Raw genomic sequence first — 23,655 nt, forward strand, 5'->3', positions numbered from 1 at the left:
TTCCTATGCATTTCTAGATAAAAGTATTTTTCAGAAAACCTGAGCATATGTCCTATTAATACAACTTACCCTCACAGCTCTGCATGAGAAGAAGGGGGAATTCCCTCAGTAGAACAGTCAGAATGGAATCACAGACTTGTTTTGAGCCAGTCACTCGTAAGGGGGATTAGGCTAAAATGATAAGCTCAGAATCTAAACCTTAGACTAGGGAATGGCAAACTTTTTCCATAAAGAGGCAAACGGTAATATTTTAGGCTTTTGGTCTAGATAACCTCTGTTGCAGTGAAGCAGTGGTACCATCGTAGCCTAAAAGCATATGTAGACAAGGCATAAATGAATGGACCTGGTTTTATTCCAGTAAAATTTAATTTATACAAACAGTCAGAGGGCCAGATTTGGCCCTTGGTCTATAGTTTGCCAACCCTGTTCAGACCAGTCACAATTTATTCCCTGGGGCTGGGCCAACTTTTTCTAAAGAAAAAGAAAGCAACCCGCTGTCAGAATAAAATAGGGTTTCTATTTAAAAAGAAGAGGCTGGGTGTGGTGGCTCATGCCTGTAATCCTAGCACTTTGGGAGGATGAGGCAGGAGGACGGCTTGAGGCCAGGAGTTTGAAACTAACTTGGGCAATATAGTGAGACCCTGTCTCTGCAAAGAATAAAAAAATTAGCTAAGCATGGTGGCTCATGTCTGTAGTCCTAGCTATGTAGGAGGCTGAAGGGGAAGATCACTTGAGCCCAGGATTTTGCGGTTATAGTGAGCTCTGACTGTTCCACTTGTACTCTACCCTAGGCAAAGAGTGAGACCCCGTTTCAAAAAAAAAAAAGGTTGGTTGGGGCGGGTTGGAGAAGAAAGTATTTCTGAATTTCTGGGTAGGTAACTGGTAGTGTCAGGCCAAACTAGCTCTACAGTCTTATTCATTATAAATAAAGGCAAGTCAAAGATCTCCATCTAGCTATTAAAAATTGGTTAAAATCTACAGAGATAAAGGACGGTCGCCCTTGTATCCGTTAGTTGTTGTCAGAAAATGCTGCATAACAAGTCACTCCAAATCTCAGTGGCTTAATACAACAATCGTTTATTTTCATGGATCTATGGATCAGCTGAGGATTGGTTAATCTGGCATGAGCATGTCTGGGAAGCTCTACTTTGCTCTTGGTGTCTCTTATCTTCCGCTGGAAGCTGCAGGCTGGCCTGGGCTTGCTCTCATGGTGATAGCAGGAGTGAGCGAGCACAAATGAATGCACAGTTTCCAAGTTTTTGGTCATGCAGATTAATATTCCAGTGGCCAAAGCTAGACACAGGACTAAACCCAATATTAGGGGCTGGAGAAATATGCTCCGATTCTTCAGTGGGAGGAACTGCAGAGACAAATGGCAGAGTCTTGGATGCAGGGAGGACTTGGATCCATTAATGTACCTTAATCATCCGCAACCCTCTAACCATCAATGCAATTCAATAAGTATTTGTTGAATGCACTTTTGCCTGAATGCTTCTGGCTGCAGCCCAGGCAATGGGGGCCTGACTAGGGAGGTACCATAGCAGGGACTCGATGTCCTGCAGGTCTGCATGTAATTGTGTACGGCCGACTCCACATTGGTCATGGCTGACTTGCTTTGTCCTGCGTCCCCAAGGGACAATGATTGGCTGATTTTATTTCCGATCAATTTTGACAAAGTTGTTTTCAGGAGCCCAGGAAGCAAATCAGTTGTAGATTTGAATTTTACAAGGGGTCAGAATTGTTGAATATATATATAGTCTTTTACATGCTGATAATTATTTGCATACCACAAAGAAGGCCGGCTGTTAGGAGGCTGCTGTTCAATTCCTTTGCCCTGTGAGCTTATGAGCTGTGTCTATGTTGGGGGCACTCACTTGTTAGAGCTCTTTCCCTTCATAATAACATTAGCCAACATTCTAAATAAATGCAGGAAATTAAATAGTCTTCCCCAGACAGGTACTTTGCCCTTCTAAAGTGAATTACACATTGTAAAATAAAACACAGTCACATTAAAAAAACAAAAGGTCTTTGTGTCAGGTTGGTCTGGCTTCAACAAAGATAATATTTGCCTCCAGAGTAGAAGATCCTTGTAATCCCTGGTATTGGATATGGCAGCCCCACATCTTGTTTCCTTTCCTTTTCTTTTTTTTTTTAACTAAAAGAGTTGACAATTTTATTTTCACATTTCCCAATACAAATGAAAACTGCATGTTTTTTGGTCCCACTTCTCCCCTCCAAAATGATTCTCTTTGATAGGGCATGGGGGCAAGTCTTCCTTATGCTGTTAAGAAAACCCAGCATCACAGCGGCATGATCTCCTGGTGAAGGGAGCAGGTAACCATAAAACTCATATAGGCTGGGCGCAGTGGCTCACACCTGTAATCCCAGTACTTTGGGAGGCCAGGGCAAGTGGGTCATGAGGTCAGGAGATTGAGACCATTGCGGCCAACATGGTGAAACCCTGTCTATACTAAAATAAAAAAAATTAGCTGGGCATGGTGGCGCACGCCTGTAGTCCCACCTACTCGGGAGGCTGAGGCAGGGGAATCGCTTGAACCTGGGAGGCGGAGATTTCAGTGAGCTGAGATCGTGCCACTGCCCTCCAGCCTGGGTGACAGAGGAAGACTCTGTCTCAAAAAACAAAAAAAACACACAACAATAACATTAAAAAACCAACACTGATGTAATGAGGCCTCCCCTCTATCCTTATCTGTCTGGTCGAGTCATTCTGGGCTGACTGGGCACCATCATGAGACGGGCAGGAGGTTTCATCATTGGGCACCCAGGCATCATGGGCATGTGGCCTCCCATGGTCAGCCTCATTCCAGGAGCAGGTTCCACTGGCATCACCCCAGGAGGAGGAGGAGGGCCCATCATTGGCATCATGGGAGGGCCCCCATATGGGGTGCTGCCATCATACCGAGATGTGCGAGAAGTATCAAATACACATTAGATTGTGAAGCCTTAATATAAAAAGAAAGCAAAGTATTTTGTTAATGTTAAAATATTTTATACATGTAGACCTGGTATTTTGGATAGATTTGTCTAAATCTGTGGTATTATTCCAATTACCTTCACTTCTTTTGTTTTACTTTTTAAAACGTGGTTACTACAAAATGCAAAAGTAAATATGTGCCTTGCATCATATTTCATCACATTTAGTGTGGACCCTGAGGGTCTAGGGGAGTTATGAGCCTTAAGTTGAGGGTGACCCAGGTCAACGTGAATTGCTCTGAAAGAGAAGCAAAGGGCATAAAGAGAATGTATAAATGGAGAGAGGGAGCTCAGTCTCTCAGGGTGAGGAAAGGCTTTCTTTCTTACACAGTGTGGCACTTCTTCAAAAGCTTAAACACAGAGTTCTATGACCCAGCACTTCTACTCCAGTTTATGAAAGAAATGAAAATATATGTCCATGCAGAAAGCTGCACACAAATGCTCATAGCAGCGTTATTCATAATAGTGCCAAAGTGAAAACAACACAAATGCTTGTCTACTGATGAGTGGAGAGATGGAACATGGTTTGACCATGCAATGGAATATTATTCAGTCATCAAAAGGAATGAAGTACTAACACGTGCTACAACACGGATGAACCATGAGAATATTATGCTAAGTGGAAGAAACCAGTCACAAAAGGTCACATAAGATTTCATTTATATGAAATGTCCAGAACACGCAAATCTATGAAGACAGAAACCATTTCTCTACTAAAAATACAAAGATTAGCTTGGTGTGGTGGCAGACGCCTCTAATCCCAGCTACTTGGGAGGCTGAGGCAGGAGAATTGCTTGAACCCGGGAGGCAGAGGTTGCAGTGAGCCGAGGTTGTGCCACTGCACTCCAGCCTGTGACAGAGACTCTATCTCAAAAAAAGTAGATTGTCAGGGCTTAGTGGGAGGAGGAAATGGGAGGTACCTGCTAATGGATACAGGGTTTCTTTTTGGGGTGATGAAAATGTTTTAAAATTGATCCTGATGGTGGTTGCCGAGCTCTGTGAATGCACTGAAACCATTGATTTGTTCATTTTAAATGGGCAAATCATACGGTACCTGAATTATATTGTAATAGTTATATTAAACAAGTAAAATCTTCCTTGAAGAGATGACACTTAAGGAGAGGCCTAGGGGGTGGGATGAGTTCACTAGGTGGATAAATGAGGAACGGCATAGTGAAGTCCCTGAGGTTGATAGGCATAGAGCAGATTTAAGGGACTTTTTTTTTTTTTTGAGACGGAGTTTAGCTCTTGACGCCTAGGCTGGAGTAGAGTGGTGTGATCTTGGCTCACTGCAACCTCTGCCTCCCGAGTTCAAGTGATTTTCCTGCCTCAGTCTCCCGAGTAGCTGGGATTACAGGCACCCACCACCACACCTGGCTAATTTTTGGATATTTAGTAGAGATGGGGTTTCACCATGTTGACCAGGCTGGTCTCAAACTCCTGGATCTCAGGTGATGCACCCGCCTCAGCTTCGCAAAGTACTGGGATTACAGGCGTGAGCCACTGCGCTCAGCCAGATTTAAGGGACTTTCAAGAAGTTTGTGTGGCTGAAGCCTGCAGGGCAAGCGAGAGAATCAGGAAATGAGGCTGGAGAAAGAGAGGGGCTAGGTCATGTAGGGTCTCACATTAGGGTGTGGAAACTTCACACGAGTGGTCCCACCTTGGGCATCCCATGTAACTACTCTGTGTCCCAGCTTCCCCACTGGTGAAATAAAGGGCTGATGTAGGGATGGACTGAGATAGTGTGTGCTCAGTAAAGGTGACCTTTTATCATTGGTTTTTTTTTTTTTTTTTTTGAGACGGAGTCTCACTCTGTCACCCAGGCTGGAGTGCAGTGACGCGATCTCTGCTCACTGCAAGCTCCGCCTTCCGGGTTCACGCCATTCTCCTGCCTCAGCCTCCCGAGTAGCTGGGACTACAGGCACCCGCCACCACGCCCTGCTAATTTTTTTGTATTTTTAGTGGAGACGGGGTTTCACCCTGTTAGCGAGAATGGTCTGGATCTCCCTAATGTCATGATCCACCCGCCTCGGCCTCCCAAAGTGCTGGGATTACAGGCATGTGTCACGCGCCTGGCCGAGCTTTTATCATTGTTAACCCACAGAGCAGTGGGAGTCATTGAAAGTGAGTGATCTGTTTGGATGCACCTTCTGAAGTGATTGCTTTGGTCCCTGTGAGGAGTGCAGATTGTCACAGGGCCAGGGGAAAACACAGGCCAGTCAGGAGGCATTTGCAGTCAAACAGCTGGAGGTGATCGTGGCTTGGTTTATGGTGGTGTCAGGAGAGTGGCTGAGCAGTGAACGGATCTGAGAAGGATTTAGGAGGTAAAACCCACGTGACTTGGTCACTGAATGTGGGTTGGGTTGGCTGGAGGGAAGGTAAGAAAGAATGAGAAGAAAAGCATACTCAAGTGGGCCCTCCAGCCGAAGGTTACTTGGGGTCCCTTTGTGAAGAGGAATGTTTGTGTTGATGATGAAGATGTCTAGACTTTCAAAGGCCATTTGCAGTTACTTTTTTTTTTTTTCAACAGCCAACAACTCCTCCTTCCCTATGCCCTAAACATATGAATGTTTTTTGACCTAATTTATCACAGAGGGATGGACGTTCATTTGCTTTAATGAGAAATGCGGAATGCTATTAAGAAAGCATATTAAATTAATCTGCATTGCTGGGAGGGAGCTAAATCTGTTTAGATGTGCGCCAGTGTTACTATAATAGTTTGGTCTCAACCCATTTCTGGCCTGCGGCTGCAGGAGGTTGACTCCCAGCTTGCTTTCATTTGAAAGATCCCAGCAACAAGCACATTTGGCATTTCCAGCCAAACCCATTTTGTGCAGTGAAGGAAAAGTTGAGGAGTGCCTCTGTTGTTTTCCCCCAAATCAATTGGCAGAAATGTGGCTGGGAGCTTCATTGCTGATTTTTTTCAGTTTTAATGTTGCTGTGGAAAGCCTGTACCAACACTCAGCCATGTTGTTAATCCACAGCTCCAGTCTGGGCTGTGATTTGTTTTTCCTTTGAGTGACACAACCTTATTTTCCATTAAGACCCAATGCAAATAGGCACTCATGCACCGTCACCATCACTCCCCCTGATTGGTGGAGGGGAGTCAATGGAGTGATTCTAGTTTGGTGTTCATATCAGAGGGATTTATTTATTTATTTATTTAATCTCTCTCTGTCACCAGGCTGGAGTTCAGTGGCACGATCTCGGCTCACTGCAACCTCTGCCTCACTGGTTCAAGCGATTCTCCTGCCTCAGCCTCCTGAGTAGCTGGGCTTACAGGCATGTGTCACCACGCCCGGCTAATTTTTTGTATTTTTAGTAGAGATGGGGTTTCACCATGTTAGCCAGGATGGTCTTGATCTCCTGACCTCGTGGTCCATCCACCTCGGCCTCCCAAAGTGCTGGGATTACACGTGTGAGCCACTGTGCCCAGCCTGGAGTTTTTTTTAAAAGCACATTTCTCTCAAATTAACTCCGGGGTGTCCCACTGTGACTTGGGCAAAGGTTTGATTTTCTGGAGGTGGAAAGTCAAACTTCAAATAGAATTTGGAGGCTGGGCACTGTGGCTCATGCCTGTAATGCCAGTACTTTGGGAGGCTGAGGTGGGTGGATCATTTGAGGCCAGGAGTTCAAGACCAAACTGGGCAACATGACGAGACCCTATTTCTACTAAAAATACAAAAATTAGCCAGGTGTGGTGGTGCACGCCTGTAATCCCAGCTACTTGGGAGGCTGAGGCAGGAGTTATCGCTTGAACCTGGGAGGTGGAGGTGTCCTGTGTCCACACCCCATGAAGCATATTAGCTGGCTGAAGATAAAATCGGTCACGCTGTGTTGAGATTGGGGTTGCTGTTATCACACCTCATCCCCACCTCTGCTAGGCATCCACAAATAGTCATCTTCAATGAGATGTCCCTCCTGCCCTGGCTGTCTTATTTCATCTGCACCCAACCATATCCATTGCTTGTCAGTGGGTCTCAACCTTGGCTCCACCTTGGAATCTCCTGGGGAGATGAGACAATACCAAGGCTCTCTCTCACTTAGCATGATGTTTCCAAGGTCCATCCACATGTAGTAGGCACCAATACTTCCATTGTATGGATATAGCACATTTTGTTTATTCATTCATCAACCAAATGGCCATTTTGGTGATTGCTACCTTTTGGTTATTATGTATGTTACATGATTCCATTTATATGAAAGGTCCAGAATAGGCAAATCTATAGAGGCAGAAAGCAGGTGAATGGTTGCCAGGTGCTGGGGGAAAGGGGAGGGGATGGAGAGTGCTTGATGGATACAGGGTTATTTTTTGGGGGGGCGGGGGGTGTTAATGAAAATGTTTTGCAACTAGACAGGGATGATGATTGCTTAACATTGTGAATGTATTTAATGATACTGAAGTGTATGCTTTCACACAGGGACTTGTATGTTGTGTGAATTTTGCCTCAGTAAAAAGTACTGCCAGGAGCAATGGCTCATGCCTGTAATCCCAGCACTTTGGGAGGCCAAGGCGGGTAGAACACCTGAGGCCAGGAGTTCGAGACCTGCTTGGCCAACGTGGTGAAACCCTATCTCTATCAAAAATACAAAAATTAGCTAGGCGTGGTGGTGCATGCCTGTAATCCCAGCTACTCGGGAGGCTGAGGTAGGAAAATGGGTTGAACCTGGGAGGCAGAGGTTGCAGTGAGCTGAGATCACACCACTGCACTCCAGCCTGGGTGACAGAACAAGATTCTGTCTCAAAAACAAAAAACAAGAAACACACACACAAAGTCAAAAAATACTGATGCCCATGTTTCATCCCCAAGAGATTCTGTAGTAATTGATCTGGGTTGCAGAGCCTGGGCACTGCGGTTTTAAAATCTCCCCAGCTGATTGTGGTGTGCAGCTGTGGTTGAGAATCTCCTTCTGGAATGAACTTGTTCATGTTTTACTTGTGTCCTTTTCTAGCCTGCCTATGCCTTTCTGCTTACCTTCACATCTTTGAGGGGTAATTTTTACAATGCAGTCTAACAACCGGCTGCCTCAAAATGCACTGGGATCCCTCGTAACCAGGTAGCTCCCCATCTCCAACTCTGACCTGCCAAGTCAGAATCTTGTGGGTGGGGCCGAGGACTGTACATATTGAAACAGGCAGTGACCTAGGAACTATTTCTGAACACCCCTATGTTTCCCCTGTATTTGCCCTTTCCTTTCACATTTGGACCCCTTTGTGTGCTGACCACTGGGGTGTTGCACTTGGACATGGCATAAAAAAGACAGGCCAGGTGCAGTGGCTCACGCCTGTAATCCCAGCACTTTGGGAGGCCGAGGTAGGCAGATCACTTGAGGCCAGGATTTCAAGATCTGCCTGGCCAACATGAGAAAACCCCATCTCTACCAAAAATACGAAATTAGCTGGGTGTGGTGGTGCACGCCTTTGATCCCAGCTACTCAGGAGGCTGAGGCTGGAGAATCCCTTGAGCCCAGGAGGCAGAGACTGCAGTGAGCCGAGATCGCACCATTGCACTCCAGCCTGGGTGACAGAGTGAGACTCTTAAAAAAAAAAAAAAAAAAAGACAGAGTTGGTCCTTCCTTTATGGAGCTCTCAGTAAAACAAGAAAGCTCACGATGTCCTGGCATTTGTCAGAAATACATTTGGTATATGTAGCTGGGGTCACATGCTTGACATGCCTGTGGAAAGCTTCTGGGTAGGAAGAGAACAAACATCACAGCATCACAGCCTGGCATAACTGTCTCCCAGGACAGGTCTCCCTGGGGAGACTGAGACCAGAACTCTGAAATCAGAGCTCAAATCCAGGTTCTGCATTTCCCTCAGTAATGTACATGATGTAAGACAGTTTTTATATTAGTTATCTATTGCTGGGCAACAATATTACTGCAAACTTTGTGGCTTGAGACAGCACACAGTTATCACTGCACGGTTTCTGTGGGTCAGGAATCTAGGCGTGACTCAGCTGGGTTCAGTGCAAGGCTGCAGCCGTAGTGTCAGCCAGGGCTCGGTTCTCATCTGGAGGCTTGACGGGTGATTGATCTGCTTCCAGGCTCATCTGGTTGTTGGCAGCATTCAGTTCCTTGCAGGCTGCTGGACTCAGGGCCCCGGTTTCTTGCTGCCCTCAGCTTCTTGCCACGTGGGCCTCTCCATCTGGCCGCTCATGACATGGCAGCTCACATCTTCAAAGCCAGCAAGACAGACAGTCTCCTAGCAAGACAACTTAACATCCTATCTAACGTAATCACTACATCCCATCACCTCTGCCATATGCCATATTCTCTTGGTTATAAGAAAGTCATAGGCCCCACCCACATTAACAGGGAAGAGGTTGTACAAGGGTGTCAGTACCAGGATGGGAGGCATCTGGTTGCCATAGTTTTCTCTACATAGAATGGGGATAATTATGCTTCTTACCTCTAGGACTGTAGTGCATATTAAATGAGAGTATGCATGAATGCCCCTTATCAGAGAGTAAGGACTTCATAAATATTAACTTCACTGTTATTTATTATTACTACCATTGTTAATATCATCAGGTTGATACTGGTCATCGGTCTCCTGCCTGTGAAAGGCATCTCCCTCCATTGCGCCCGGGTTCCCCCTGAGCTTCTCCTGTGTTGTTCTCACAGACGCCTTCTTCATTCAGCCTTGGAGATCTAATCTTGAGCCCTGAATCTTTTTTCCAATCTGACTTGTCTGAAGCATGCACTAAGCTAGCTGGGCATTCAGACTCGGTGTAGCATTTTATGAAAAGCAGCATCTGCATCTGTGTAGATGCATCTTTGAGGGACTATGTTTCGGGTGGCCTCTCATGACTTGGTCTCTTCCTCATTTAGGATTCTTTGCTAGAACAGCAGGAGACAGCTTCCCACACTGTCATGTAAGTCTGCATCCTCACTGCATTCAAATTTCCCACTTGGGAGATGTTTACATCCCCAGAACCCATTGAGTCTATTTAATTGAAAAGTATGTGGATGTTCTGGGCCAGATACTGTGCTTTGTTCCAGGGATCTGAAAAAGTCAACGAGACAAATCCTTGGTTCTCAGCAGTTCAATAGAGGAATTTATTTTTTAATTAAAAAAAAAAAAATTTTTTTTTAACAATAGAGCTCTTGAACATTTTCCTCCTTTCTGACATTTTGTATTCTTTTCCCCTCCTGCTGCTCCTGCCAACCACCATTTTTTTTTCTCTGAGCTAAACTTTTTTTTTTTTTGAGATGGAGTGTCGCTCCGTCATCCAGGCTGGAGTGCAGTGGCGCGATCCTGCCTCACTGTAACCTCTGCCTCCTGGGTTCAAGCAATTCTCCTGTCTCAGCCTCCTTAGTAGCTGGGATTACAGGCACGCACCACCACGCCCAGCTAATTTTTGTATTTTTAGTAGAGATAGGGTTTCATCATGTTGGTCAGGCTGGTCTCGAACTCCTACCTCATGATCCTCCTGCCTCGACCTCCCAAAGTGCTGGGATTACAGGCATGAGCTACCATGCCTGGCCAACTTTTTTAGATTCCACATGTATTTGAGATCTTGTGGTTATTTGTCTTTCTGAGCTTGGCTTAGTTTGCTTTTCATGATGTTCTCCAGGTTCATCCATGTTGTTGCAAATGACAGGATTTTCTTCTTTTTAAAGGCTGAGTGGTATTCCATTGTGTATATATTCCTTATCCATTTATCTTTTGATGGATACTTAGGTTGATGCCATGTATTGGCTATTGTGAATAGTGCTGCAGTGAACATGGGAGTGCAAATATCTCTTCAACAGACTGACTTCAGCTTCTTCACCCAGATGTGTGACTGCTGGATCATATGGTAGTTCTACTCTTAATTTTTTGAGGAATCTCTGTACTATTTTCCATAATGGCTGTACTAATTTACATTCCCAAGACAGTATGCAAGCATTCTCTTGCATCCTCACCAACACTTGTTATCTTTCATCTTTTTTATCATAGTCGTTCTAATAGGTGTCAGGTAATATATCATTGTGGCTTTAACTTACATTTCCTTTATAATTAGTGATTTTAAGAATTTTTTATATACCGGTGGGTCATTTGTATGTCTTCTTTTGAGAAATGTCTACTTAGATCTTTTGCTCATTTTTTGAGTTGTTTTCTTACTATTGAGTTGAGTTCTTTATATGTTTTGGAGTTCCTTATATATATTCTAGCCTTATCAGATGTATGGTTTGCAAATATTTTCTCCCATCCCATAGGCTGTTTCTTCATTGAAGGAGTTTAGACTTGAGGCCAGTGTTTCTCAATTTAGGACAAATGTTACTGGTTGCATGTAAGATTTTAGGTAGACCAATAGCTGATTTTGGGCGCTACACCGACTTGGTATTAAATATTTCAGTCACATTATGAAACACTTATTCCCTTTTAAATTCTCTCTGATTTGTATGAGTAGGTCAGGAACAAAGTCTGTTAGGTATTAATGTCTTTAACATTTTGTATTCTCCCTTTTAAACATAGAAAGCAAGGTGTAGCCCAGACACTTTTGTAGGCAACAGTGTCCAGCTAGAATTGAACACAATGTTATTTTCCCATTGAATTAACTTTTTGCAGTCATAGTAGTAAACAGTGAGTCCTTTGGGAAGAAACGTATTTAAGTAAAAGATGTGATAACCTGCTCTTTGAACAAAAGGCAGCCACACCTAAGTGCCCATTGATGGTTGCTAGATATTCTGATGGTTTAAGAAAATTTGGAAGTTTGGATTTTTATGTGAAATTTTCTAATTATTACATGTTAGATCAAGTAAAAAATACCTTGTGGTTCAAATAAAATACATTGTAGGCAGTTGGTTTGTAAATTCTATAGTGAGAGGTGTAACAAGAGACTGTATTTAATTTTGAAGTAATAGTAAGATTAAATCTTGGGAGAGTGTTGGGGTAAATAAGTCTAAGAATGATGGCGTTTTGATTTCTAGAGCGCTCCAAAATAAACATCTCTCTCCCCTTCCCTCCCCTCCCCTCCCCTCCTTTCCCCTCCCTTCCCCTTCCCCTCCCCTCCCCTCGCCTCCCCTAACCTCCCTTCCCCTCCCCTCCCCTCCCTTCCTCTCCCCTCCCTTCCCCTCCCCTCCCCTCCCCTCCCCTCCTTTCCCCTCCCTTCCCCTCCCCTCCCCTCCTCTCCCCTCCCCTCCCCTCCTTTCCCCTCCTTTCCCCTCCCTCCCACTGCCCCTCCCTCCCCCCTCCCCCATCCCTCCCTCCTTTCTTCCCTTCCTTTCTTTCATTTCTTTCATTTCACTTCTCTTCTATGTAGAGTTTGATTCTTCACAACTTGGCTGAAAACATTCATGAAGACTGCCTGGTATGTTAGAGGTTGGCTTGTTGGGAGAAACAAAGGAAAAGAGGCAGAAAAAAAGCAATAAAAATGGTAATGAGAATGTTGACAAATTGAATATTTTGCATAGGGCAGACGGGACTGAGTTTGAGATAGGTGGACTTGTGTGTTCTATGTGATTTAAAGAATATATACATTAAAATGCACAGATCTTAAGCATTCAATTTAATGGGTTTTGACTTGCATACACCCACACAACCATCATGCCAAACAAAATTTAGAATGTTTCTATGGCCCTGGAAAATTCTTTCATAGCCCTTTCACACAACCCTGTCGCCTTCCAGGGGCAACCACTGTTCTAACAATTTCCATCACAATAAATTAAATTTGCCACTTCTTGGGCTTTATTTAAATGGAATCATATGCTATGCACTCCTTTATGCCTGGCTTTTTTTTTTGCTCAAAAAAAGTTTTAAAAATCAATCCATACTGTGTATATCAGTGGTTCGTTCTTTTTTTTGTCACATCTAGTTGATAAGTAGCAGTCCATTGAATGCATACTTTATAATTTGTTATTTATCTACCAGTGGATAGACATTTGTTTCCAGTTTTGCTTATTATGAATAAAACTTCTATGAATAAATATTTACCAAACTTTGTGTGAACATATTCTCATTCTTTTAGGTAAATGCTCAGGAGTAGAATTGCTGAGACATAGGGTAGATGTGTGTTTAACTTCATGAGAAACTGTTAAACAGTTTTCCAAAGTGGTTTCACCATTCTGACAAGCCACGTATGAAAGTTCCAATTGTTTCATGTTCTCACCAACATCTGCCCTTGCCATTATTTTTGATTACAGCCATTTCAGTCATTGATTTTTATATGTTGACTTCATATCTAGAAATATTTGTAACTCAATTTGGTGAGCTTTTTGTGGATTTCATGGGGTTTTTTGATGTATACAATCATGCCATTTGCAAATATTGATAGTTTTTCTTCTTTTCCTTGTAATTTTTATGCATGTTTCAATTTTTTTCCCTATTGAACTAACTAGGAATTCTAGTAAAATTGTGGATACAAGTGGGGATAATGGGTATCCTTGTCTTATTCCTGATCTTAAGGGAAAAACATTGTTTTACTGCTAAATATGATGTTAGCTGTAGTTTTTTTTAATAGATGCACTTTATCACATTGAGGATGTTTCCTTTTATTCCTAGTTTCCTGAGGGTTTTTTATAAAAATCATGAATGGGTGTTAAATTTTGTCAAATGCTTTTTTTTTTGGGCATATATTGAGAAAATTGTAAGTTTTTTTTTCCCTTTTTTCTCTTAGTGTGTTGAATTACTCTAACCACTTTTTGAGTCATGAACCAATCTTACATTCCTGAGATAAATCTCATTTGGTCATATTGTATTATCCTTTTAATAGATTGCTAGATTTGATTTGCAAATATTTTATTAAAGATTTTTGCATTAACTTTCATGAAGGGTATTGATGTATTTTTTCTTGTATGCACATATGCTGGCCTTAAAAATGGGTTGAAAATATCCTCATCTCAGGACACAAGGGCATAAGAATGATACGAGGGATCTTGGGGACTCGGGAGAAAGGGTGGGAGCGGGTGAGGGATAAAGACTACACATGGGTACAGTGTACACTGCTTGGGTGATGAGTGCATCAAAATCTCAGAAACCACCACTAATGAATTTATTCTTCTAACGCACCACCACCCATTCCCCAAAAACCAGCTGAGATAATAATAATGATAAAAAGAAAGTGTCCTCATCTCTATTATTTTCTGAAAGAATTTAAGTAATAATTATATTATTTATTTTTTAAAGATTTGATGAAATTTGCCAGTGAAGACATCTGGGACTCGGCTTTTGTTTGTGGTAAAATGTCAACTTATGAATTCAATTCATATGATAACTGTAAAACTTTTCATATTTTCTAGTTGCTTTTTTTGGTTTTGGTACTTTGTGGTACTTTGTTCCTTTCATCTAGGTTGTTGAATTTATTCACAAAATCAATGACAGTTTTGAAAAACAAAATTTTTGAAAAGTAAAATGTCGTTCATTTTGTCTGTTTTATTATTCTTTTAGTATCTGTAGTGATGTCCTCTCTTTAATTGCTGGAATTAGTAATTTGTGTGTTTCTTTCTGTCTGCCTGTCTGTCTGTCTCTCTCTCGCTCTTGTCCTGATCATTCTTTCTAGGTTTATTTTTGGTAGGTAGCGCTCAAAGTGGCTTCCAGTAGCCTCTGCCTCTTGATATCCACATCCTTGTGTAATCTCCTCCCTTCATGTGTGAACTAAATCTAGTGACTCACTTGTAATGAATAGAACATGGAGAAAATGATGGGATGTTACCTTCGAGACCAGTTTACAGAAAGACCGTTGCTTCCATCTTGTTTGTTCTTTCTTGCTCTCCTATTTGCTTGTTCTAATGGAAGCCAGCTACCACCATGGAGAGGTTCACATGGCAGGGAATTGAGGGAAGCCTGCAGCCAGCAGCCACTGAGGCCCTCAGTCCAATAGCCTGCACGTGTTTACAGACTTCCAACAGCTATATAAGTGAGCTTAGGGCTAGGTGCGGTGGCTCATGCCTGTAATACCAGCCCTTTGGGAGGCCAAGACGGGAGATTCATGAGGTCAGGAGATTGAGACCATCCTGGCTAACACGGTGAAACCCCATCTCTACTAAAAACACAAAAAATTAGCCAAGTGTGGTGGCAGGCGCCTGTAGTCCCAGCTACTCGGGAAGCTGAGGCAGGAGAATGGCGTGAACCCAGGAGGCAGAGCTTGCAGTGAGCCAAGATTGCGCCACTGCACTCCAGCCTGGGTGACACAGCAAGTCTCCATCTCAAAAAAAAAAAAAAAAAAAACACACAAAAACAAAAAACTGAGCTTGGATACACAGAGCTCCATCTCCTTAGCAAATCCTTGAGATAACTGCCACCCTGGCTGACAGCTTGATTGCAGTCTTATAAAAGAACCACGTATTACAGCCACCCAGATGAAACCCTGTAGAAACTATGAGATAACAAATGTTTGCTGTTTTAAGTCACTAAGTTTTAGGGTAATTTGTTGTACAGGTATAGATAGCTAATATAGTGTTTATTGATTTTATTCATTATTTTAAGAAACCAGCTTTTGTTGATTTTCCCTATTGTTCATATGTTTTTTATTTCACTGATTTCTCTCTCATTTTTATTTTCTTTCTTATAATTACTTTAAGCTTCATTTGCTCCTCTTTAGCTTCTTTAGGTTCCAGTTTAGATCATTCATTTTACAGCTTTCTTATTTTTTAATATAGGCATTTAATGTAGTAAACATCTAGGCTAGTGCTGGTTTATCTGCATATCACAAATTTCAATATATTGTCTTTTGGTTATCATACAGTTCAAAGTATTTTCTAATTTCCCTCATATTTTAGTCTTTGGGCATTTAGAAGTGAGTTATTTAATTTCTAAATATTTGGTAATTTTCTAGATAACTTATTTTTAGTGACTTTTAATTAAATACTGTTGTCAGAGAAATCATTTTTTTGATTTCAGTATTTTCTAAGTTTAATGAGACTAGCTTTATGGAGCAGCAGCAGCATATGGTCTCTCTTAATGAATGGTCCACAGGCACTTGAAAAGAATGTGTATTCTGTAGTTTTTGGGTCTGTCATACTATAAATATCAAGTAGGTCAAGCTGGTTGATTGTGTCATTCAAATTTAATATATGCCTACTAATTTTTTCTGGTTGCTTTATCAGTTACTCAGAATGGAGTGTTAAAAATCTTAAAGTACGGTCAATGAATTTGTCTTTCAATTATTGCATCATCTATTTTGAAGCTCTGTTAATAGGTACAGCATACATTTTTAGGGTCATTTTGTGTTGTTTATAAATTGACACCTTAATTGTTATTAAATGATCATTTTTACCCCTAGTAATGCTCTTTGTCTTGAGGTTTATTTTGTCTGATATTATTCATGCCAAACCAGCTCTCTAACACTTAGTGTTTGCATGGTATCTAAAAAGTGTTTCCCGCCTTTTTTAGTTTAATCTTTATGTGTTGTGTATTTAAACTGTGTTTCTTATAAACAGCATATAGTTAATCTTGCTTTTTTTGGTTTAATTTGTCAATCTGTGCTTTGCACATGGAGAGTTTAGGCCATTTATATTTAATGTAATTATGGATATGGTCAGGTTTAAGTCTATCTTGGCTTTTATTTTCTATTTGTATCCTCCATTCTTTGTTCTTCCGTTTCTCTTTTACCACCTTCTTTTGGGTTAATACTTTTTTCCTAGTATTTTGTGTGTGCTTTTTTGGGGTGTTGCTTTGGTTGATAAAGAAAACTTCAAGCTAGAAAATGACCAGTATTATTTATGATTCAGGAATACAGCTGCCTTAAGCTTAGACTCACAGAGGCTGCTGGTCTTTACTGCAGTGGATGCCTCACTGGTTTTATTAATATTATCATCATAGTGTTGATGGGTCCCTATAGCACAGGGCACATTGGATATTATCCCTATTCTCCCTGGGATTTTCTGTCAGGCTGTGGCACATGAGCTGCACAGGCAGAGGATTATTTGCAGATAAGCCATACAAGCCTCCATCTGCAGTAAATGCTAGTCTTTTGGAGTCTGTATTTCAGTTCCACGGTCAAGCTGTGTCTCTCTCTAGGGGCTACCAGACTTCTGTTTGCTGTCACCTCTCTTTCCATCACAGCTGCTTCCCTCAGTTTGTTAGGAGGCAGGGAACATTCTGAAACCCTGGAGAAAAGCTGGCTGTGGGAGTCACAGATGCCAGTGTTTTAGATAAACTTCAGACATGCTTCTGATGTTGAGGGGCTTGATTCCAAACAGCGCTTGGGTCCCTTCCTCTCTCCCCCACCACAGTGCATGTTATAGGAAAAAGGAACCAGGCCTTATAGGTGTTGAATTATTGTTCACTCCATTCCTCTTCATTTTTTTTTTTTTGCTTTGTTTATGACTTAGATTAATTCTGAATCTCTTGTACCTGGACTCCTTTGAAAATTCCAATAAAGCAAAAATGATTAAAATTGAATTGCCCATAGAAGCTGAGATGCCTTTTTTCCCCTGGAGCTAGGCTCAGCATCTAAATAAGGGAGGAGGCCCACACCCTGCATATCAGCCTTTCAAACAAGGCACCGTGGGAGTACCTGAGTTTGGATCCATAAATACAAAACAGGAAATCTTAAATGGAACTTTTCTCTATGTTTTTTTAAAGATCTAATATGAGATTATAGCTTTGATCATAACTTAATTTTTCATTTCCATTTGAACTCTAATTTTACTTAAATTTCCTTCTGACAAATCTCCAAAGGAATATTTAAGTGACACAGCATAATGCTGGCAGATTATTCATATATCAGCCCTTAGGCTACCAAGGAAGGCTTCATCATCTCAGAGTGAGTTTTATTGGAATCTGTAGCTCACAAAACATTGCTTTCTGACAGCTCCTGTGCAGTAGAATTTAAAGGCTTAAGTTTTGGGAGGATTTACACATTGGTAGCATCCTCTGCTATGCCTTTTAGGGACATTAAATCAGGAGGCTCCTAAGTGGTAGTCCTGTAGAAGGGTGTTCTATAATCCTCCCATATTTATATCACAGGTATATGGGCCTTGGAAGAGCTCTTTTTCCTCCTACTTTTTGAACCTGATTGGGGCAACTGCGTTCTTCTGACCTGTGCACTTTAGGGGAGTTGAGTCTGTCATGGTGACCTGAACATGGACACAAAATCCTATCTCAGTGCGGCAGAAAGCCAACTTTGCTTCATTCATGTGTTCACCCATTCATTCATTCATTGAATAAATATCTATTAAGCTCCTTTTATTGCCAGATACTCTTCTATCCTGGGGACATTAGTAGTGAATAAATCAGATATTGTGGCTCTGTTCATAGAGCTCATGGGCTAGCAGGGAAGACAGAAGAAATAAGACTCATAAACATACAACTCCATCTATCATAACTGGTCATGAGAGCGATGAAGGAAATAATTTCTCTGTGGAAGAGGAATTTGAGCTGAGACCTCGAGGACTGGTAGAAGTTAGCCATATAAAGTGATTTTTTTCCCCCAAAACAATATAGAGAAATGTTTTCATTTGCATTTCTCCTATTCCCTGCGAATTTGAACCTCTTCATGACATTACTGGCAATTTGAATCTTGTTTCATGAAATTTGCCTCTTCGTGTCCTTTACCTGTTTTTCAGTTCCTTGTCTTTTGCTTATTGCCTTGGGGGAGTCTTGCCTTTCACAGGTAGGTTTTCATCCACCTGCAGCTTGTGTGATGTAGTGACTCAGGTGGGCTTTGCAAGGGGGTAGATACTGAACGAAGGTGGTGCGTGTTGAGAAGTCTGAACGGGTAGCCTTACAGAATGCTGGTTTGGTCAGATCAGCCTGGGACCAAGCTGAGTACCACATGTTTCAGAATCAGTGAGGGACCGGTTTCACCTGCTACACTTCATTACATAAGCTGGGGCTCATGTTAAAGAGAGGTCAAGTGTTCCTATTCTGAGCCTGGCACCACACAGGCTTTTATTGTGATCAGCAACATTTTGGTAGAGATTCTTCCCATGGAGTTTCTGAAATACCTGCTTTCTGTCTTCTGCTGGGGGTCACTTACATCTACAGAGGATGACTGAGGAGGAGGTCTGGCAGGAAATGATGGGGGGCTGTTTTCATCTCATCTCTATAATTCCAGATGTTTCCCTTGACTTCTTTAAAGACCATGTTTTACCCTATTGATTAGAAAAACAAAGTGGCTTTCAGAAACCTGCTGTTAGGATCTGTGAGATTTTATCTAATCTTCTCCATATTTCTTGCCCTTGCAAGAGATGTCTTGTGAAATTCTTTTCTTGTGAAAAATAAAGTCTGCTGAAGAAGAAATGGGAAATCCTACACATGCAGAAGCAAGGTGGCACACATGCAGATGGACACTTCTGGGTGGTGGGCAGCCATTTAAGGTTTTAAACAGCGAATTATACTTCAGTTTTAGAATGGTGAGTAAGCCAGATGCGGTGGCTTATCCCTATCATCCCAGCAAGTCGGGAGGCCTAGGTGGGGGGATTGCTTGAGCCTAGGAGTTTGGGACCAGTCTGGGAACATAGTGAGACCCCATCTGTACAAAAAATTAAAAAATTAGCTTGATGTGTGGCACACGTCTGTAGTCCCAATTACTCAGGAGGCCGGAGGCAGCAGGATTGCTTGAGTCCAGTAGTTTGAGACCAACATGGGCAATGTAGCAAGACTCCCACCTCTACAAAATTAGACACATACACAAAAGCAACTAGGCATGGTGGAGTGCACTGGGAGTCCCAGCTACTTGGGAGGCTGTGATGGGAGGATTGCTTGAGCCCAGGAGGTTGAGGCTGCGATGAGCCAAGGTCATGCCATTGCACTCCAGCCTGGGCGCATAGCAAGACCCTGTCTCCAAAAAACTAAATAAATAAAGATAATGGTGAGTAAAGAAGACTTAGAACCTTCAGTGATTTGGATAACAGTCCCTACTAATATTCCAGATACTCCCTTTCCAAGGAAGAGGTCTTCTAGAATTCTTTTTTTTTTTTTGAGACGGAGTTTCACCCTTGTCACCCAGGCTGTAGTGTAGTGGCATGATCTTGACCCACTGCAACCTCCTCCTCCTGGGTTCTAGTGATTCTCCTGCCTCAGCCTTCTAAATAGCTGGGATTATAGGTGCATGCCAACATGCCTGGCTAATTTTTGTATTTTTAGTAGAGACGGGGTTTTACCATGACCTTGAGCTCATGACCTCAAGTGACCCACCTGCCTTGGCCTCCCAGATTGCTGGGATTACGGTGTGAGTCACCATGCCTGGCCGGGGTCTTGTAGAATTCTGATGATTAGAGCTTTATCATGAAAGATCGAGTTAAATGCACAGCAATGCTCTGCGGAGCAAGGTAAGGTTGCTTCCGAGAGAGCACGCCCATGCTGCCCTGCCCTCCATCACCCGGATCACTTTATGCCTTTTATCTGTTAGAGTCCCAGTCTGCTCTGTTCTGCGTCTTGCAGGACCGTAAGACAAAGCATCACATCACAGCTGGATCAGAACAAGTTTCAGCCTCCTCCATGTTCTCTGCTATCATCAGGATTTTCAAGGATAATTTGGTCTAAGTCAAGGAGAATCATGTCTAGAAGCAGCAGCCAGTGGGGGTGAGGCTTATTTCACCTTCCCCATGGCAGGCATCTCAGCAAAACTTTGGCAATCTTTGCTGGCTGGTTAGTGCAGAAATATGAAATTACTATTTTCACTTCAACTTAAGCTTCTCCGTGGTGGGGGGTGGAGTGGGGGAGCAGGAAAACCAAGTAAACCACCACCAACCTGGCTGTTCCTGGGGCTTAGCAATGGAGTTGGCTACTCGCTTATTACATTTCAGTTGGTGGGTCCCCAGGCTAGCCACTGTCATTGCTTTGCTTGCATTTCATGTTTGCATGCTTTAGGGAGGCATCTGACAAGTCCTATTTCTGTGCTCACACCAGGAGACTTTTCTGGCACTCAGGTGTGCAAACCTGGTTTTACTTCTCTTGAATCTGCTTCACACCCACCTGCCCAGTATTTTCTGGACTACTGATTCTCTCCCTGCCATCTTCCCCTCCCTCCCTCCATTTAAAAATAATCACAAAGGAAACACATGCTCGTGGTGAAGTTAAAATAAAACAGCAGAGAAGGATGTAGAAGAAAAATGGATTCTCTCTTACCACTTCCCCTCCTTATGCCACTATTTTCTGAGGGTGCCACCCTCACCCCTGTTCATAGTGTGAGGTGCTTTATTCCAGACATTTTGATGCAGTCACCAACACATACCTGATCTCACACACACCGGGAATTGTGCACACATGTGCACATACACACATGTCTGAGGGTCTTAGATTTTATTTATTTATGATGAATTATTACTACTTTTTAGAGACACGGTCTCACTCTGTCCCCCAGGCTGGAGTGCAGGCACCATCATATCTTACGGCAACCTCAAAATCCAGGGCTTAAGCAATCCTCCCACCTCAGCCCCCTGAGTAGCTATGACTACAGGCATGCACCACCATGCCCAGGTAATTTTGTAATTTTTTATTTGTAAACATGAGATCTCACCATGTGGCCCTGGCTGGTCTTGAGATCCAGGCCTCAGGCAATCCTCCTGTCTTGGCCTCCCAGAGTGCTGAAATTACAAGCTTGAACCACCGTGCCTGACTATAATAGCTGTAATTTAAAATAGTCATGCTTGTGGTTAAAAAATAAAGCAGTACTGAGAGGCTTACAATGAAAAATAACTGGCCAGGTGTAGTGGCTCACGCTTGTAATCCCAGCATTTTGGGAGGCTGAGGTGGGCGGATTACTTGAAGTCAGGAGTTCGAGACCAGCCTAGCCAGCATAGTGAAGCCCCATCTTTACTAAAAATACAAAAAATTAGCCAGGCATGGTGGCAGGCGCCTGTAATCCCAGCTACTCAGGAGATCGCTTGAACCTGGGAGGCAGAGGTTGCAGTGAACTGAGATTGCGCCACTACACTCTAGCCTGGGTGACAGAGTGAGGCTCTGTCTAAAAAAAAAAAAAGAACAAAGAAAAAAAATCACTTTCTGCCTTTGTCCGCTCCCAAGAGGCAACAACTTTGAATTCTCTTAGCTTCAACACCCCAGTGGTGGTGATCACCAAGGCTCAGATAATATTTATATATTGCCAGTTCTTGACTGATCTGACTGATCAATTTCAGTCATTATTAATTCAGATTTCTGGCTGTGATAGATGAGATTTAGCCTCATCTCAAACCCATGTCTCCCCTTCCTTTAACCTCAACAAATTGTTATTTTGACTATATTTAGTAAAATAATAAATAGAGTTATATTATTTTGGCTATGTAAATATTATTCTTTTCAGGGCCGATAGTAGTAAGATGACCTTTTTTTTTCTTCTGGAGTTTATAGTTGCCTTTATTTTTACTTTCAACTATTTGCCTTTGCTATGTGTTACATTTTTTTTCAATATTTGTCTTATATTAAGTATACAGTCAAGTTTTCCTCTCTTGTGTCTTTTTCTGGAGATCTCTCTCGCAGATTCCCAGTGCTCCAATTTGCACGGCACCGCTGTTGTCCTGAGACCTCCCTGCTAAATGCATTGTGTTTTCAGCTCTGTGTTTCTCTCCCACCTCCCCTGGGCTTGGGAGTTCTAGGTCTTAAGACCTTGTGGGGTTCTTGAAGGGGATCAGCTTTCTCCTTGGCTGATCCCTTTCCTTTCTCATGTTGTCTTGGCTAGAGCTTCCTCTACTCCACTTCCTGTCAACTTCTTTAAACACACTCCACGAATTTGTTAAAATCTGTCTTTAATAAGACAGCTCCCTCTCTTTCTAATAATTCTTGCAGATCCCTGACTTAAAATTCCTTTACTGTCATTTTATTGGGTTTTAGGAGGAGATAAATGGTTTTGCTTTTGGAACGTCTTCTCCTTTAAACCAGAAGTCTTAGTGTTTAAAAGGTTTTTCTCAGTCTCTTTTTATTTCTTGTTGCTATCTCTCTTTCTCTCTGTATTATTTTTCACTTAGAGATATCTAGTCATTGATAACAGTTCTCATAGATGAAGTAGCTCTCCTCTCAGACAAAACTAGGTAGAACTTAGTGGTTATATGCCACAGTAAGTAACACCAAAGTTGATTGATCCTGAAGTTTACCTAGAGGTTCATAATGCCATGCCATGCTTTTTAAGTGTCTAAACCTCCTAATTTTTTTAAAATTGTTTTTTAATTTTTATAAACTTAGGGGGTACAAGTGCCATTTTGTTACATAGATATATTGCATAGCGGTGAAGTGTGGGCTTTAAGTGTAACCATCACGTGAATAGTGTACATTGTACCTGTGGAGTCATTTCTCATTCCTCACTCCCCTCCCACTCTCTCACCCTTCTGAGTCTCTGGTTTGGTAATGTCATTTAGTGCTTTTCAATTATGATTATAGAGAGTATAATTTTATAAGGAATGAAATCCAAGGGAAGCAATTTTATTAAACTATACCGTAAGTGTATAGAGATTCACAGACACAGAAAACCACAGTTCATCTGACCCTCAAAGACTTTGTTTCCCTGCCTGGCATTTTTAGATGTATCACAGGCATTGTTCCTTGGGTCATTTTCAAATTTAAACTGGAGCCAAAGCTTCTTTTTCTGGTCCTTTGATTTAGAGAGAGCTGCTTGTTCCTCTCTGTACACTGTGAACTGACAGGGAGCCTGAAAACCTTTTTTGGCTTAGCCATGGATGCACTTTTCCTATTTTTCTCTTAGGATTCAGCTCTAATGTTACCTCCTTCCCAGAATCTTTCCTGATCTGCCCTGGCTTGGGCGGCTGAGTGTAGAGGTAAAAAGTGTGGACTTTGAT

At 42.3% G+C, this 23,655-nt stretch overlaps 1 protein-coding gene and 1 pseudogene across 4 annotated transcripts in view; one reads left to right on the forward strand and one right to left on the reverse strand.

Annotated features, from left to right (window-relative positions):
* RBFOX1 (RNA binding fox-1 homolog 1) overlaps positions 1–23,655 on the forward strand; it is a 2,473,620-nt gene that overhangs the window by 46,770 nt on the left and 2,403,195 nt on the right. The window lies entirely within an intron of this gene.
* SNRPCP20 (small nuclear ribonucleoprotein polypeptide C pseudogene 20) lies at positions 2,652–2,936 on the reverse strand (annotated as a pseudogene).

The sequence above is a fragment of the Homo sapiens genome, chromosome 16 (assembly GCF_000001405.40).
Source record: "Homo sapiens chromosome 16, GRCh38.p14 Primary Assembly".
NCBI classification, from domain to species: domain Eukaryota; kingdom Metazoa; phylum Chordata; class Mammalia; order Primates; family Hominidae; genus Homo; species Homo sapiens.